This window comes from Homo sapiens, chromosome 16 (assembly GCF_000001405.40).
Source record: "Homo sapiens chromosome 16, GRCh38.p14 Primary Assembly".
In the NCBI taxonomy this organism is placed as follows: Eukaryota; Metazoa; Chordata; class Mammalia; order Primates; family Hominidae; genus Homo; species Homo sapiens.
This window is the reverse complement of record NC_000016.10, coordinates 69,519,343-69,535,689: the sequence shown is the minus strand read 5'-3', so window position 1 is coordinate 69,535,689 and position 16,347 is coordinate 69,519,343. Positions and strand designations below refer to the sequence as shown.

General features: G+C 45.1%; 1 long non-coding RNA gene across 1 annotated transcript, besides 5 other annotated features; it reads right to left on the bottom strand.

Annotated features, from left to right (window-relative positions):
- Positions 4,583–5,782: an enhancer, noted in NCBI's record as "P300/CBP strongly-dependent group 1 enhancer chr16:69563811-69565010 (GRCh37/hg19 assembly coordinates)". NCBI's record gives its function as "activates an origin of replication core promoter dependent on BRD2, BRD4, P300/CBP, MED14 and CDK7 cofactors, with strong dependence on P300/CBP, by STARR-seq in HCT116 cells {active_cell/tissue: HCT116}" and the evidence as "EXISTENCE:reporter gene assay evidence [ECO:0000049][PMID:35650434]".
- Positions 4,604–5,313: an enhancer, noted in NCBI's record as "H3K27ac-H3K4me1 hESC enhancer chr16:69564280-69564989 (GRCh37/hg19 assembly coordinates)". NCBI's record gives its function as "activates a minimal SCP1, AML or CMV promoter by ChIP-STARR-seq in primed H9 embryonic stem cells {active_cell/tissue: H9 hESC(primed)}" and the evidence as "EXISTENCE:reporter gene assay evidence [ECO:0000049][PMID:30033119]".
- Positions 4,730–5,024: an enhancer, noted in NCBI's record as "tiled region #2580; HepG2 Activating DNase matched - State 5:Enh, and K562 Activating DNase unmatched - State 1:Tss". NCBI's record gives its function as "activates a minimal TATA promoter and a strong SV40 promoter by Sharpr-MPRA in HepG2 and K562 cells {active_cell/tissue: HepG2 | K562}" and the evidence as "EXISTENCE:reporter gene assay evidence [ECO:0000049][PMID:27701403]".
- Positions 5,770–6,064: an enhancer, noted in NCBI's record as "tiled region #4304; HepG2 Activating DNase unmatched - State 5:Enh, and K562 Activating DNase matched - State 5:Enh". NCBI's record gives its function as "activates a minimal TATA promoter and a strong SV40 promoter by Sharpr-MPRA in HepG2 and K562 cells {active_cell/tissue: HepG2 | K562}" and the evidence as "EXISTENCE:reporter gene assay evidence [ECO:0000049][PMID:27701403]".
- On the bottom strand, positions 11,133–13,015 carry LOC105371325 (uncharacterized). The gene is made up of 3 exons (XR_933697.3): positions 12,610–13,015; positions 11,953–12,102; positions 11,133–11,219 (listed from the first exon to the last, which is right to left on the bottom strand). It is a non-coding gene; the product is annotated as an uncharacterized LOC105371325 (long non-coding RNA).
- Positions 11,580–12,779: an enhancer, noted in NCBI's record as "BRD4-independent group 4 enhancer chr16:69556814-69558013 (GRCh37/hg19 assembly coordinates)". NCBI's record gives its function as "activates an origin of replication core promoter dependent on BRD2, P300/CBP, MED14 and CDK7 cofactors, and independent of BRD4, by STARR-seq in HCT116 cells {active_cell/tissue: HCT116}" and the evidence as "EXISTENCE:reporter gene assay evidence [ECO:0000049][PMID:35650434]".
- Positions 13,016–16,347: the final 3,332 nt, after the last annotated feature.

Below are 16,347 nucleotides of genomic sequence, written 5' to 3'. Positions count from 1 at the left end.
GGTGCCACCCTTTACTTAGCATGAAGGCTCTCTATGGACAACACCAGCCCTCCTCCTTCCCTCTATCCTATGCCAAGAGGAAGGTGATGCTGGCCATGGCCATGATCGTTGTAGAAAATAACGAGTGTGATTGAGGATGTTTCAGGTTGTCAGCAGTGAAGGATGCGAACGGAGGTATGTTCTGTAAATATCAGGAAACACAGGAGTATGAGATCTCATAACATGTTCTAGCAAGCCCATATTCTGCAGATGATGGGTGCGCATTTTGGGTCCTTTGGTGTGAACCAATAGCAGAGGATTCCAAACAAAATACATTCAGCTTTCTTTCTCAAAGCAATGTGCTCCACTTGCTAGGAATGGAATTTTCACACATTTAAGGTCAAAATGAAATTTCTGGGAGGGATCTGTGAATCATCTAGCCAGTCACCACTTGCAGGGGCCTCTGAATGGGAGGAAATCAGGACAACAATATGCTGAGTTTTTCACCACTGGCTGCTGGGCAATTCAGGATATTGAGCCCTGTGTGACCTTCCCAACAGAAAAATCACCTTTGGATACAATAGCAGAGTGGTGTTCAGAATAATTCCCTAGAAAAACAAACTAAGTTTTGCACCTTAGAAAGGAGGAAACTACAGTCTGTCTTACTGTCCTTCACTCTGTGCCAAACCCTGCATTAAGCACTTTTCTGTGCTCTCACTTGTTCCTCACATCACTTTGTGAGGAATGTTCAGTACAATTATCATGCCCATTTCACAGATGAGGAAACTGAGCCCAAAGAGGAGAGGTATCTTACCCATTCATATTCCATAACCAGCTAAGAAACAATTCCGCATCACTGGGTGCGGTGGTGCACGACTGTAATCCCAGTACCTTGGGAGGCCAAGGTGGGCAGATCACCTGAGGTTGGGAGTTCAAAACCAGCCTGACCAACATGGTGAAACCCCCTCTCTACTAAATACAAAAAATTAGCTGGGTGTGGTCGCATGCCTGTAATCCCAGGTACTCGGGAGGCTGAGGCAGGAGAATTGCTTGAACCTGGGATGCAGAGGTTGCAGTGAGCCACGATCATGCCACTGCACTCCAGCCTGGGCAACAAGAGCGAAACTCTGTCTAAAAAAAAATAATAATAATAAAAATCAAATTCAAAACAGAATACATTCAGCTCACACCAAATCCTTTCCTTTTTTTTTTTTTTTTTTTTTTGAGATAGTCTTTCTCTATCGCCCAGGCTAGAGTGCAGTGGCTCAATCTCACTCATTGCAACTTCTACCTCCTGGATTCAAGTGATTCTCCTGCCTCAGCTTCCCGAGTGGCTGGGACTACAGGCGTGCACCATCATGCCTGGCCAATTTTTGTATTTTTAGTAGAGATGGGGTTTCACCATGTTAGCCTTGGCTGGTCTCGAACTCCTGACCTCAAGTGATCTGCCCGCCTTGGCCTCCCAAATTGCTGGGATTACAGGCATGAGCCACCACACATGGCTTGTAGTATTATTTACAGTGAAAACTGGAAACAATTTAAATGCCCATAATTAGAAAATGATTGATCATGGTATGTTCAAAAGATGGCATACGATACACATGTTAAAAATCATCTTTCTTTTGCCTTATAGAAATATTTATCAATCTAGCATATGGCATATGTGCACAATACAAATGTAATATGACATTCAAGGATGTAATTGCTAAGATTGCCATATCATTCTCTTTGGTATAAGAAAATAATAGATTGAGTATCAGAATCTGAAAGGCACAGGACTCCAGGAGAAAAGGAGTCCAGGAAAAGATAGAAATGCTCTTTAAAGGGCATCACGATATAGGACATGTGTGCAATTAGCTCAGTCTTGAAAAGCTTGATGTAAGATTAAAAAAAAAAAAATCACCAGCATCCTTAATTGTGTACACATTTGTTGAGTGCTTACTATACGCAGACACTGGAGACTCAATGATGGAGAGAAAACGTTCCTATCTTTCTGAGCAATGCAGTCTGCATAAGAAGGCATTGTTGGCCAGCACAATGGCTCACACCTGTAATCCCAGCACTTTGGGAGGCAGAGGCAGGCGATCACTTGAGGTCAGGAGTTCAAGACCAGCCTGGACAACATGATGAAACCCCATCTCTACCAAAAATACAAAAAAATAGCTGGGCGTGGTGGCACATGCCTGTAATCCCAGCTACTCGAGGGGCTGAGGCAGGGGAATCGCTTGAGCCCGGGAGGTGGAGGTTGCAGTGAGCTGAGGTCACACCATTGCACTCCAGCCTGGACAACAAAGTGAGACTCTGTCTCAGAAAAAAAGAAAAACAAAGAAGTAATTGCTCTATCTAGTCTGTGGGTAGCATCAAATGACTGAGTTAGGAAAGATTTTCTCCATCTGATAATACTTAGAGGGGTGGTTCTCCAAGTGGGGTGATGTTCCCCGCAGGGGACATTTGGCAATGTCTGCAGACATTTTTGAATGTCACTTCTGGGGGGCGGGGGAGGAGTGCTTCGGGCACCTAGTGGTAGAGGTCAGGATAGTAAACATCCGACAAAGTACAGAACACCTCCTAAAACAAAGAATTATGTGGCTCAAATATCAATAGCGCTGAGATGGATAAACTCTGACTTAGACCATCAGGATTCTTTCTTGGAAGTTACAGAGTTACGTTTCATGGTGGGAATGGGGAGGGAGTGTCCCACAAGGAGATGGCAGCCTTGCAGAGACGTGAGTGCAGGAGGGAAAAGGATTTACCTGGGTGATCGGGAAGCTTGTTAGGCAAAACTATGGGTGGAGACAGTCCCAATTTACTGAGAATGCTACTCCAAACGTTAATTTGTAAATTGCTTCTTTGGCATATCTTGGATCCCTTCCATGCCTCCTTCCAGAAGGAGACCATATGTTAAAAATGAAAGGCTCTGGAGATAAAATCAAAAGACCTGGGTTGAATCTCAACTTCATAATCATGAAAATCATTTTACTTTTCTAAGCCTCAGTTCCCACTTTTGAGAAGTGGGGATGCAAATGCTACCCCTCCCACTGCTGAGAAGAGAACAGTTGTTTGGGCTGCTTGGCTCTGGATACAGGCTCATGTGTAACTCTGACATTGTATGTTTATAACATATCAATAAATGAAAAGGGTGGTTATAAAGCAGTACATATTGTATGCATCCAATTTTTGTTCAATGTGAATGTCTGCTGAGAAAATAGTCGGGAAGTAATTATATCAAACAGCTAACATAAATTGTTCTTGAATGGCCAGAAACAAAAACCAAACCAAAACACGAACCAATATATTACCTTTGGTATTAGATAATAAATACATGTTATTGAAATTCATAAAAGTTATCTTTTTCAAAAGAGATTTTATGATATGAGAAATACTTAGGATGTAATTTAAGCAAAAACAAAAGCAAGTTAGAAATTGCATGAACTTGCCAGACAAGGCTCATGCCTGTAATCCCAGAACTTTGGGAAGGAGGATTGCTTGAGGCCAGAGTTCGAGACCAGCCTGGACAACACAGTGAGACCCCACCTCTAAAAAAATGAAAAAGAAATTAGCCAAGTATGGCAGCATACATCTGTAGTCCAGCTACTTGGGAGGCTGAAGCTGGAGGATCACTTGAGCCTAGAAGGTCAAGGCTGCAGTGAGCCATAATCATATCACTGCACTCCAGCCTGGGTGACAGAGTAAGACCTTGCCTCAAAAAAAAAAAAAAAGGGGTTGCACAGGCTTGCACTGTTCAACATGGTAGTCACCAGCCCCACGTGCCTACTGAACACTTGAATGTGGCTAACTCTGAATTCAGATGTGCAAGCATGTAAAATATCTCATTTTTAATTTAATAATCATAAAAATTGCTAAATGTTTATATTGATTATATGATAAAATGATATTGTTGAAATATTTGGTTGAATATAATATATTGTGCAGTGGCTCATGCGTGTAATCCCAGCACTGTGGGAGACCAGGGCGGGCGGATCACCTGAGGTCAGGAGTTTGAGACAAGCCTGACCAACATGGCGAAACCCCGTCTCTACTAAAAATATAAAAATTCAGCCAGGTATGGTGGCAGGCACCTGTCATCCCAGCTACTCAGGAAGTTAAGGCAGAAGAATCGCTTGAACCCAGAGGTTGCAGTGAGTCAAGATCATGCCACTACACTACAGCCTGGGTGAGACTCCATCTCAAAAAAAAAAAAAAAAAAAAAAAAAAAAAAAAAAAATATATATATATATATATATATATATACACACACACACACATACACACACACACAATTTCACCTGTTTTTATTTTTCTTTAATGAGGCTTCTGAAGCATTTTAAATTACATATATGGTTCACACCTGTGGTTTGCATATTTCCTTTGAATAGTGCTGATATAGACTGCAGAAACTTGACTATATAATGAAAAAATACAGAGAAAAAAAATAGAATGGAAAAATACCAAACTCATCACTGTGATAAAGTTTAAACGATAGGATTATAGGTGATTTTTTCTGCTTCTTTGCATTTTTCTGCACTTTCAAATATTCTACGGGGTCCAGATCTCCCTGTGATAATTTGGAAAAGGGCAAAAGGAGTCTAGAATCTCTCCTGTACTCCTGGGGCAAAAACTATTCTTCCTTAAAAAGATTACATCTTATGGGGACTGTTATTTTGTGAATTAAAAAATGGGGTGCCAGCTAGTCTCCATGGTTCTGGGTATGACGGAGAAGGTCCCACATTCTGATCCCTGCTCTGGGCGAGGAGGGGCATCTTCCTCCTGCCTTCCCCACAGAGAAGGAACCAAGGGTATGAGAACTATGAGAAGCAGCTCCGTGGATGCTCAGAACATCCCTGGGCAAGGAAGTGAGTCATCCGGTGAGTCAGCCCCGCCGCCCTGCTTTCATTCTTGGGATTGTTCCATGTCACTGCTCCTCTCTGTTACCCTTTCCCCCCCACCCCCGCATCACATGTGTGGTCTCAAGGCAGCCCAGGCAAATCGCACTAAGAAGGGCTCCTGGGTGCTCAGCACCTAAAGTGGGTCATTCATGGCACTGCCTGCGGTCACCCACAAGCTCGCCTCTTACTCTCATGTCAACTCATCCGGCAAAGGTGTTATTAGCATTCCCATTTCACAGATGAGAAAACGAGACAGAGAGAGGAGAAATACTTGGCCAAGGGCTCACAGGTAGGAACAGACTGGGTCCTGAGATTCAAGTTCAGGCTGATTCCAAAGCATGTGTTTCCTAGAACTTTCATCTAGGTCTGCCACAAACAGGACTGGGAAGTAATATATTTTTTTTTTTTTTGAGACGGAGTCTTGCTCTGTCGCCCAGGCTGGAGTGCAGTGGCGCGATCTCGGCTCACTGCAAGCTCTGCTTCCTGGGTTCACGCCATTCTCCTGCCTCAGCCTCCCGAGTAGCTGGGACTACAGGCGCCCGCCACCACGCCCGGCTAATTTTTTTGTATGTTTAGTACAGACGGGGTTTCACGTGTTAGCCAGGATGGTCTTCATCTCCTGACCTCGTGATCCACCCGCCTCGGCCTCCTAAAGTGCTGGGATTACAGGCGTGAGCCATCGCGCCCGGCCAAGACTGGGAAGTAATTAACTTGTGTCTTCCAAGCCTCCATTGCCCTAGATTTCAGGAGCCTGAGACCTTCATAAGGTCTGATCGCTCTCTTACAAAACAGGTCTCTGGGAAAGAGTCTAAGAATCTGATATCAGACATTTACAACGAAGTATGAATTTAGGCCCATCATTACTCCTTCGGTGAAAACCTGCAATGTGAAGTCTTATTCCAATTGTGGGGTGAAAGACTAAAAGGAATGTCTACCACTGGAATACACACTGGGGAGATGTCTGGGGAAGAAAGGGCGTGTGCTTAGAGCTACTCTCTGTTGAACCGGACCAGGAGCCACCCTGGGCCATCTGCTCGGGAACGCAGTCTTGCTTCCAGTTTACTAAACCAGGTGGGTGGGGCCAAGGCCCAGGAAGCAGACGCTCATGTGATGTAGCTGCCACAAGAATCCCACCCCCTACAGATTCCTCCAGTGGAGAGTCACACCTAGGGATTAAGCATTTCCCTTTCTTTTCAACCTTTTGATTTTTTGGTAATTTAATGTTTTTATAGGTAATCTGTTCACATGGTTCAAAAATTATATACATTACACACACACACACACACACACAATTTTCTTTCTCTTTCCCTTACCAAGTCCTCCTTCTCCCTAATTCTTATCCCACTCCCACAGTCTCTGATGTTATTAGTTTCTTGTGTATCTTTCCAGAGTTTCTTTATGCATATACAATAAATGCACACATGCACACACAGCCACCCTTCTTTTTATACAAAAGTTTCAGGCTCTTTTTACAAAAGTAAAAATGCTACAGGGAAGAACACATTGCAATAAACACTTGAATTTAAAGGAATCTAGCCGGGCACAGTGGCTCACATCTGTAATCCCAGCACTTTGGGAGGCCAAGGCGGGCAGATCACCTGAGGTCGGGAGTTGGAGACCAGCCTGACCAACATGGAGAAACCCCGTCTCTACTAAAAACACAAAATTAGCCAGGCGTGGTGGCGCATGCCTGTAATCCCAACTACTTGGGAGGGTGAGACAGGAGAATTGCTTGAACCCGGGAGGCAGAGGTTGCTGTGAGCCGAGATTGCACTGCTGCACTCCAGCATGGGCAAGAAGAGCAAAACTCTGTCTCAAAAAAAAAAAAAAAAAAAAAAAAAAAAAAAAAGGAATCTATAGGTATTTTCTTTCTGGGGCCACTAACTAGGCCCCAGTTTTTTTTTCAGCTTTTGCGTTTTTAATGTCAGGTTTAATAATGCATAATGTACATGCAGTAAAATGTATCCTTTTTAGTGGGCAGTTCTGCAAGTTGTCACAAATGTATACAGTCTCACAGCCACTACTATGATCAAGATGCAAAAGGGCCCGGCGCAGTGGCTCACGCCTGTAATCCCAGCACTTTGGGAGGCCGAGGTGGGTGGGTCACATGAGGCCAGGAATTCGAGACCAGCCTGACCAATGTGGTGAAACCCCATCTCTACTAAAAATACAAAAATTAGCCGGGCATGGTGGCGCATGCCTGTAATTCCAGCTATTTGAGAGGCTGAGGCAGGAGAATTGCTTGAACCCAGGAGGTGGAGGTTGCAGTCAGCCAAGATCATACCACCGCACTCCAGCCTGGGCAACAGAGTGAGACGCCATCTCAAAAAAAAAGAAAAAAAGATAAAAAAGACTTCTCCCACCCCCACCACCAAATTCTTTGATGCCCCTTTGCAGTCTCCTCTATTGCCACCCCCAACCCCTAGCAACCATTGGTATGTTCTCTGTGCTTCTAGCTTTATGTTTTCTAGAATGTCTCATAGATGGAATCATACATCATTCCACAAAAATATGCACTCTTTTGTGTCTTGCTTTTCTCACTTGGCAGAGTGCATGTGAGATTCATCTCTGTTGTTGTTGCATATGTCGTGCATGTTAATAGTCTGTTTCTCGTTATTGGCGAGTTGTATTCCATTATTTGGATGTACCACAGTTTGTTTATCTGTATATCAGTTGAAGAGTTAAAGGACATTTGGACATTCATTTGGGTTGCTTGCAGTTGGAGGATATCATTTCCATTACTTCTCTTCTTTTTTTTTTTTTTTTTTTTGAGACGGAGTCTTGTTCTGTCACCCAGGCTGGAGTGCAACGGCATGATCTCGGCTCACTGCAACCTCCGCCTCCTGGGTTCAAGTGATTCTCCTGCCTCAACCTCCTGAGTAGCTAGGACAACAGGCGCCCGTCACCATGCCCAGCTGATTTTTTTTTGTATTTTTAGTAGAGACGAGGTTTCACCATGTTGGCCGGTCTCAAACTCCTGACCTCAGGTGATCCACCTGCCTCGGCCTCCCAAAGTGCTTGGATTACAGGCGTGAGCCACCCTGCCCGGCCTCTCTCTCTTTTTTTTTTTTTTTTTTTTTTTTTTAGTGATAGGGTCTCACTCTGTGGCCCAAACTGGAGTGCAGTGGTGCCATAATAGCTCACTGTAGCCTGAAACTCCTGGGCTCAAGCAATCCTCTCACCTCAGCCTCTCAAGTATTAATAGCTGGGATTACAGACACATCACTGCCCCTGGCCATCTCATTTTTAATCTTTATAATAGCCCCATGACTTGGACTCACTAGCCTCATCCTAGAGGGGAAATCTGAGGGCAGGAGAGGTTCAGTGGCCTGCCCTCCCACATCACTCAGTGGATAAGTGGCAGAGATGGGATCTGAATTCAGATTTGACAGGAAAAAACCTTCTGCTGGGAACGGCGATGTGATCCTGTCTTCCTGCCACTATGTTCAAAGGAGCCAAAGACACCTAAGCTGTAAGGGCTAAAGGTATTAATAAAACACAAACTTCTCTTTCTAATTTTGGCTCCCTTACAAGAATTCAGACTAGTGGTGAGAGGAAATACTAACAGGGGCCCCTCTAGGCTGGCAGCACGCTCTACTGCCTTGAGCCTACCAACTTTCCCAAAGGGAATGATTCCTAATGTTTTCGAGTGGGTATGGAATGTGCTCTTAAAAGTTTATAGTTCACTTAATACGCATCATCTCATCAAAGAACAACTTCACAGAGGGGTGGACCTGGCTCTCCCTGCAACCCACCTACAGAGCACGGACACCTGGTGAGCTTCGTGCTCAAGCCTATGAGTGACCCTTAGCATTTCCCTCAATTCTGAGCCGTACACCCCTCCCCTTGTGCAATGACAACCTGGCAATTCCATACGCCCTCCTGGCACGCCTGGATTGGCAGGGTGGTGGCCTGGAACGCCAGTCCTCCTCTTGGGAGTTTGTAAGGAATTAGGAGGGCCATATGAGCACCCAGAATGGGGCCTGGCACCCAGGAGACAGGCAGCAAATATTCTTCCCCTTCGCTTTGCTTAATACAAGAGTCAGGTACCATGCCAGCAAACGAGACACTGGAGGTTAGACCAATGTGCTGCGTGCCACAAGCAAGTCACCTCCTACTCCAATGCTTGCAGTTTCCACATTCATAATGTGGAGCAGGTCCAAGTTCATTAAATGGCATATAATTATATATGTAGCCTTTCTTTCAGGTGAAAGAGGAGGGATTAAGGAAAAAAAAACTCTATAATCTCCTGGGTACCCAGAGGGCCTTGCCCACCCCAAGCAGAGAAAAGATTTTACAACCATAGAGAAGCTATCAGACGCAGCTGGAAGAGACCTGAATCCTATTGATCACACAAAGCCAGGCCCACAAGGGGACATGAAAGAGTGTTTCACTGGTCATAGAATAAATAGATTTTCTGTGTCACACTTATTGTAGAAGTCTCTATAAAGTGGATTGTGGAGATAGCGACCTAGAGGGCACAGATACTTCACTGGGGTGAAATGAGACCATTGTGTATGAGCCAGCGGTCTCATGTTAATTCTATTTGGCCCACACATAGGGTGACCAACTCATCCTTATGTGCAGTGGAAGTTCCACATCCCAGCCGGGCGCAGTGGCTCACGCCTGTAATCCCAGCATTTTGGGAGGCCAAGGTGGGCAGATCACCTGCGCTCGGGAGTTCGAGACCAGCCTCACCAACATGGAGAAACCCCGTCTCTACTAAAAACACAAAAAATTAGCCAGGCGTGGTGGCGCATGCCTGGAATCCCAACTACTCAGGAGGCTGAGGCAGAAGAATCGCTTGAGCCTAGGAGGCGGAGGTTGCGGTAGCCGAGATCGCGCCATTGCACTCCAGCCTGGGCAACAAGAGCAAAACTCCGTCTCAAAAAAAAAAAGAAAGAAAGAAAAGAAAAGAGAAAGAAAGTTCCACATCCCAGGAAACCCCTTATCCTAGACATCACAGGAAACAACTCAGTCCTGGACAAACCGGGATGGTTGGTCACCCTTCTTACATGATCATTTCTTAAAGCCGAATTCATAACCAACATTCACAACTGAGAGGATTTCTCATGAAATATTCCAAATGTCCAGAATCTCTTAAAAACTGGACAGCTTGGTAACTCTGCACCCAAATTTTGCACATGGAAACAATTGGCTGGTGTTGAGCGGTAGCAGCTTCTCCCCGATGGATCAAGCACTCACTGCTTTGCCACAGTCCCCATCACTCCTTGTCTTACATACACCCGTCCACTTCACTCCAGGTATTACCTGCCTGGCTCCTGTAGCATTAGAGTTTGCAACCCTTGAGGTAAATGTACTCTAGCCTTTGAAGAGCTTACAAATTTAAGAGATGGCCGTGCACAATGGCTCTCACCTGTAATCCCAGCTACTTGGGAGGCCAAGGTGGGAGGACTGCTTGAGGCCAGGAGTTTGAGACCAGCATGGGCAACATTGGGAGACTCCTGTCTCTATAAAAATTTTTTTCTTAAAATTATCCGGTTTGGTGGCATGTGCCTATAGGCCCAGCCACTCCAGAGGCCAGCCTGGGCAACAGCGGGAGACCCCCGTCTCTAAAAAACAAACAAACAAAAACTTAAGAGACGAAACTTTTAAAAGCTGACCCTGGGTTACTCCTTTCCAAATGTTCCAAGATAGGAATATTTTAGTGGCTACAAAACACCATCAATTTTCTTCTTCTTTTTTTGAGACGGATCTCGCTCTGTTGCCCAGGCTGGAGTGCAGTGGCACAATCTCGGCTCACTGCAACCTCCACCTCCCCGTTCAAGCAATTCTCCTGCCTCAGCCTCCCGAGTAGCTGGGATTACAGGTGCATACCACCATGCCCTGCTAATTTTTGTATTTTTAGTAGACACGGGGTTTCACCATCTTGGCCAGGCTGGTCTCGAACTCCTGACCTCAGGCAATCCACCCACCTCGGCCTCCCAAAGTGCTGGGATTACAGGTGTGAGCCACCGCGCCTGGGCAAAACACCATCAATTTTCTTACTTGTGCTCTTACTTAATAAACAAAGTAATGTAAACAGTGAGACTTTACACTGTTTGCCATAAAACTTAGTGGTGGTGGTGTTCAACGTAAAAAAAAAAAAATTAAAACTCCGCTGTTTTCATCTTGAATTGACCCTCAAGCACAAATTCTAGTTGCAAGTAATAGAAACCGAATCTAAAGTAGTTTCAGGAGAGAGACTGATTTAATGACTTCTGTAATCAAATTACAGACCAGTGGGAGTGGGTATCTGGATCCACGGTCAACTGGATTCAGAAACTCCAGTTCTGCTCAAGCCAGAATTCTGTTCCAGGTTCTCTGCAAATCGGCTTCATTCTCTCAGGCCAGCTACTCCACAGGGAAGGGGAAATGAACAAAGGCAGCTCTGAGCTGACATCCTTACTATTTGAAACCCAAAAGGTGGAAATGTTGTGGAGAGAGGGAGTACACTTTTTTCTACTAGTTGGAAAAATCCTAGGAAAGAATTTCTGTTCCTGGGCCTATCTAGGGTCTGTTCCCAGAAGAAAGGAGGGATGGGTTTCAAGCAGGCCCAAATCATATCTACCAACAGGTCACTCTCTGTGGGTTTTAATGATCTTTAGAGTCCTCCAGGTTGGAAGCTCTTCTCTGTAGTCTAGTTTTTTTGGTAGCAGTGATAGTAACCATAATTGCTTACAATGCGCCAGACACTATTTTCATTGCTTTGCATATTACATGCATGTGCATAAATACATATTATCTCACTTAATCCCCTCAACAACCCCCTAAGGGAGTTTATTCTCCCTGTTTTACAAATTTGGAAACTAAGACACAAAGCAGTTAAGTAGTTGAGACGCTTGCCAAGTGGGCCCGACATCAGCTGTGAACTGAACCCAGGCGGCCTAGCCAGAAATCACAGGGCCCAATCATATCACAGCTGCCTATCTGAGAGAGCTATATACTAGACTATAAAAGATTTGTCACAAACGCCTGCGTGCTGGCAATGCGCAAAGGTGTGACCAATAATGGTGTGGCTTTCCATCTGTGAGCGTGGGTTGGGGACTGGGTGAGAGGTCTCCCAGATTCCTGCCATGCTTGCTACCTGTGCTGGGAAATCCGGCTTTGATCTGCCCCTGGAGCCACCGGGCACAGCACTATCTGTTTATCTAGCTCTCCGCCAGGCACCTTGCCTCAGACTCTCCCGCTGCTGCATTTTTACTTCTCATCAAATCTGCATCCAGTGACCCGAGTCCTGCATCAGTAATCAGAAAAATCATGTTTTGATTTTTTGTTTTGTTTTGTTTTGTGTTCCTAGTCTAGACTCTGTTTCTAACAGAATACAAATAGCAACATGTTTGTTGATTGTCTGGGTTTTAGAGGACTTAAACTCAATTGAACAAATGCGTAGTGAGTTTCTACAATGAGCCTATGTGGCCAGAGGTTATAGCAACAAGTGAGAAGCAGATTCTGCCCTTAACAACCAAAAAGCTACATTTTTAAAAAAGGACTTATCTCTAAACTCTCCGTTCTGGATTAGGCAAAAGCTTTCTGGATGGTCTGGGTCCCTTCAGTTTCTCGATGTTTTCAATTCTTTGAAAGAGCTGCAGCCAGTCTAGTGGCTGTAGAATGCCGCTTTCATCGACAGCAGGAACGTCTTTCCTCCCACCCCAGGACTAAATCGGACCTTTAAATCAGGCCTTCTCCCTTACCTTGGGGTAACCCAACCCAAGTGAATTGATTTGCTCCCTGCATTGTTAACCTGTGGGAATTAAGCTTGTCTATTGTTGTCTCCTGGTGCACACCCCTTCTTTGTAATTGACCTTCATCCAGAATTCTTGGTAGGCTTAGGCAGCCATATTTTAATCACATGATTTTCTTCTTGGCCACAGCTGATTGGTTCTGAGTGATCACCTGACCCAGCCCATGGGCTGAACTGAGCCAATCGGCTTCTTTGTCCTTCAGAGTCTGACTTAAATAGTTCAGAGAGTGAATGAGGAAGGTTGGGCCTGGAGCAGGAGAGTATTGTGGCATTAAGATGTCAAGCTTGCACCAGGTAAAATCCTAATAAGAGAGATAAGCCAGAGGATGAAGCCTATGTACAGAAAAGAGCAGAAGTAAGAGACCATCCATGAGGCATGATCGCAAGAGAGGAAAGGAGAGAAGGAGGAGGGTCGGTGCCCAATTTACCAGGTCTCTTTTGAATCCATGTCTTAGCCTTGGATGTCTGATGCACCTTTCAATAAACTCCCAATTTATTTGAGCAAGTTTGGTACGGCCTCAGTTTCATGCAACTTAATTGATTAGAATATCAAAATATTTTGCCCATATTATGATTATCACAGTTATTACAATAAAAGATAGATATTCTGCCTATCCCCAACAGATGGTCATGTCTTTTTTTCATCTTTCTGTCTCCACTACTTTCCCTTGCCTCTGTGCCTAGAGCGTAGCATGTGCTCAATAAAAGCTTGATGAAAGAATGAAGGAATGTTCATCTCCTCTAAATTTCTCTGCCTGGCTTTCCAGCCTTCCCCCATCTGGCCCCGTATCTAACCTCATTACCCACTACTCCTTACTCCACACCCTCCACTGTGGTTAAACCAGTCTCACCAAGGCATCCGGCTCATTTCTCTGGGCCTTTCCTCATGCTGGAATGCCCTCCTCCCTCTTCTTCACCTACTTATCCTTCTTAAATCAGCCCCCTCCTTCTCCATCCATTCTTCAGACATTTACTGAATGCCCACTGTGTGTCAGACATTATGCTAAGCGCTGGGCTACAGTGGGGAAAAAAACAGATGTGCTTTCTGTAGCCATGTTACTTATTGTAAAAGGGGAAAGATGTATTCGTTTTGAAGAGAAACCAGAGTATATGTTGCTTATTGTCTTACAAACCTTCCCTGTGAAGTTTCCTCCAAGAGCTGCACCACCCCCCGCCATCTCCTGCTCATCTTCCTCCTCGCTTACCTCGTTTAATTCTTCCTAACTCACATCACTGTTTGTTAACAGGTTCTCTTGAGTTTGTTTTGCCCACCAAGCCTCCTCCTATTAACTGGATTTTATGTGTCTTCAGGGCTGAAGCCTGAATCTTGTACTTTTTCTATTTATACTTACGTGGCTCAGCAACAGGGACACAGTGGGCACCTAAAAAATAACTCTTCACTGCCTGCCTGCTTGATCAAAAATGTCTCCTGCCCTCCTGGCCTGGTAAATGAAAGGACAGAGAGGTATTTGTCTGTCTTTGCAATCCCAGGAATAAACATCAGCCTGGATTTCAGCTGATCCCCATAACCCTGGCCATAAAGCACCATCTAAAGCCAGGGGAGAGATGAACAAATAGAGGTTGTATTTGTTCTGTTTAGTCCCGGGTACTCTGGGGGAAGGCTTCACAGACCTCCTCACCACAAACCCATGCTAACAAACAAGAAGCCACTTCTCTGGCAGTCTCCTGTACAGTGTCCTTTTACCTGGGAGTCAGCTCCCTTGTCTCCAGCCCTTTTGAAAGACACCTTTCAGCTCTGTGTCTTTACTGGGTGGAAGGGAAAGAAAAATTAGGGGCACTAGATTTCATTCTCTCCCCAGACATAAGCAAAGGTAGTCCACCCCAGACCGAGCTCAGCAAAACCTCACCACAGAGTTTCTCTGCATAAAGAAAGTGCCTTTTTGAAACACAAAGTCAGTCTTTCAAATCAGGAAGGGAAAAAATAACCCACCAACCAACCCCAAACCTGCACTTGGCCAAAATCCTGAGGTTGGTGGCAGGATTGAACTGAATCATTTCTCTTTACTCTGATTGCATCAGCGACAGGCAGCTACTTGGTCCCCAGAAGAGGCCTCATGCCATGTTTGTGCCTAATTTTGATTCCTTATTTTCTTGTAAGCAAAGCCATCTTAACTAATGTGAGATGGGAATTGGGTTCAACCCAGGTGGCTGAGGCCAGAAACTGATAGTTGTGAGACAGAAACTGTTATACCCATTAGGGGCTGTTCCTCTTAAGTCTAAACTAGCTCCATCTCTCTGTTCCCTGTTTGAGAGGTTCCATGATACCTTTGACATGAAGTCCTAGCTCTTAAGTATCCTAAGTTCTATGTAGTGATAACTACAACTTTTTGAGCAAAGTCTTCCTAAGTACTCTGCCCTTGCCTAGACATTATATATAAAGTATTTCACTGGATCCTTTAAGAAAACAAACACCCCATGAGGTAGGTGCTATGGTTAGATCCATTTTATAGATATGGAAACTGAGGCCCAGAGAAATTAGGTGCCTTGTGCATAGCTGAGGCGGGACTTGGACCCAGGCTGCTGACTACAAAGCCTACACTCTTTTTTTTTTTCTTTTTTTTTGAGACAGAGTGTTGCTCTTGTTGCCCAGGCTGGAGTGCAATGGTGCGATCTCGGCTCACCGCAATCTCCACCTCCAGGGTTCAAGCAAGTAGCTGGGATTCCAGACATGTGCCACCATGCCCAGCTAATTTTGTATTTTTAGTAGAGATGGGGTTTCTCCATGTTGGTCAGGCTGGTCTCAAACTCCTGACCTCAGGTGATCTGCCCGCCTCAGCCTCCCAAAGTGCTGGGATTACAAGTGTGAGCCACCAAGTCCAAAAGCCCACACCCTTAATCACTGTGCAAATGAGTCTCCCTTTCTTCTCACCTTTCCAAGGACCCCCCATTCTCTAAAGACTGAAGGAAATTCCACCCCCTTCCAGATATCTGCAGCCCACTCTGAGCTCTCCCTTAACTGACTGACTTCCTCTAGTCTGTTAACACCTCGCAGGACATTTTGAAATCATCATTCATTTGTGCAATAATTATTGAGCACCTATGTATGCCAGACGCTGTTCTAGGAGACCCAGCTGTGAACAGAACAGACAAAAGTCCTTGCCCTCACGGACTTTACATTCTATGGAAGCAGACTGACACGCAAAAATACAAATACACTTTGGGAGGCTGAGGCGGGTAGATCGCTTGAGCCCAGGAGTTAGAGACCAGCCTGGGCAACAGGGTGAAACCCCATCTCTACAAAAAATATAAAAATTGGCCTGGAGTGGTGCTGTGTCCCTGTAGTCCCAGCTACTCCGGTGGCTGAAGCTGGAGAATGGCTTAAGCTCAGGAGTTTGAGGCTGCAGTGAGCTGTGATGATGCCACTGCACTCCAGCCTGGACAACAGAATGAGACCCCATCTCAAAAAAAAAAAAAAAAAAAAAGAATATAAATACGTAAAAAAATTATATTAAGGCCAGGCGTGGTAGCTCACACTTGTAATCCCAGCACTTTGGGAGGTCAAGGCAGTGGATCACCTGAGGTCAGGAGTTCGAGACCAGCCTGGCCACCATTGTGAAACCCTGTCTCAACTGAAAATACAAAAATTAGCTGGGCATGGCGGCACACACCTGTTGTCCCACCTACTTGGGAGGCCGAGGCAGGAGAATGGCTTGAATCTCGGAGGAGGAGGTTGTAGTGAGCCAAGATCACGCCAATGAACTCCAGCCTAGGTGACAG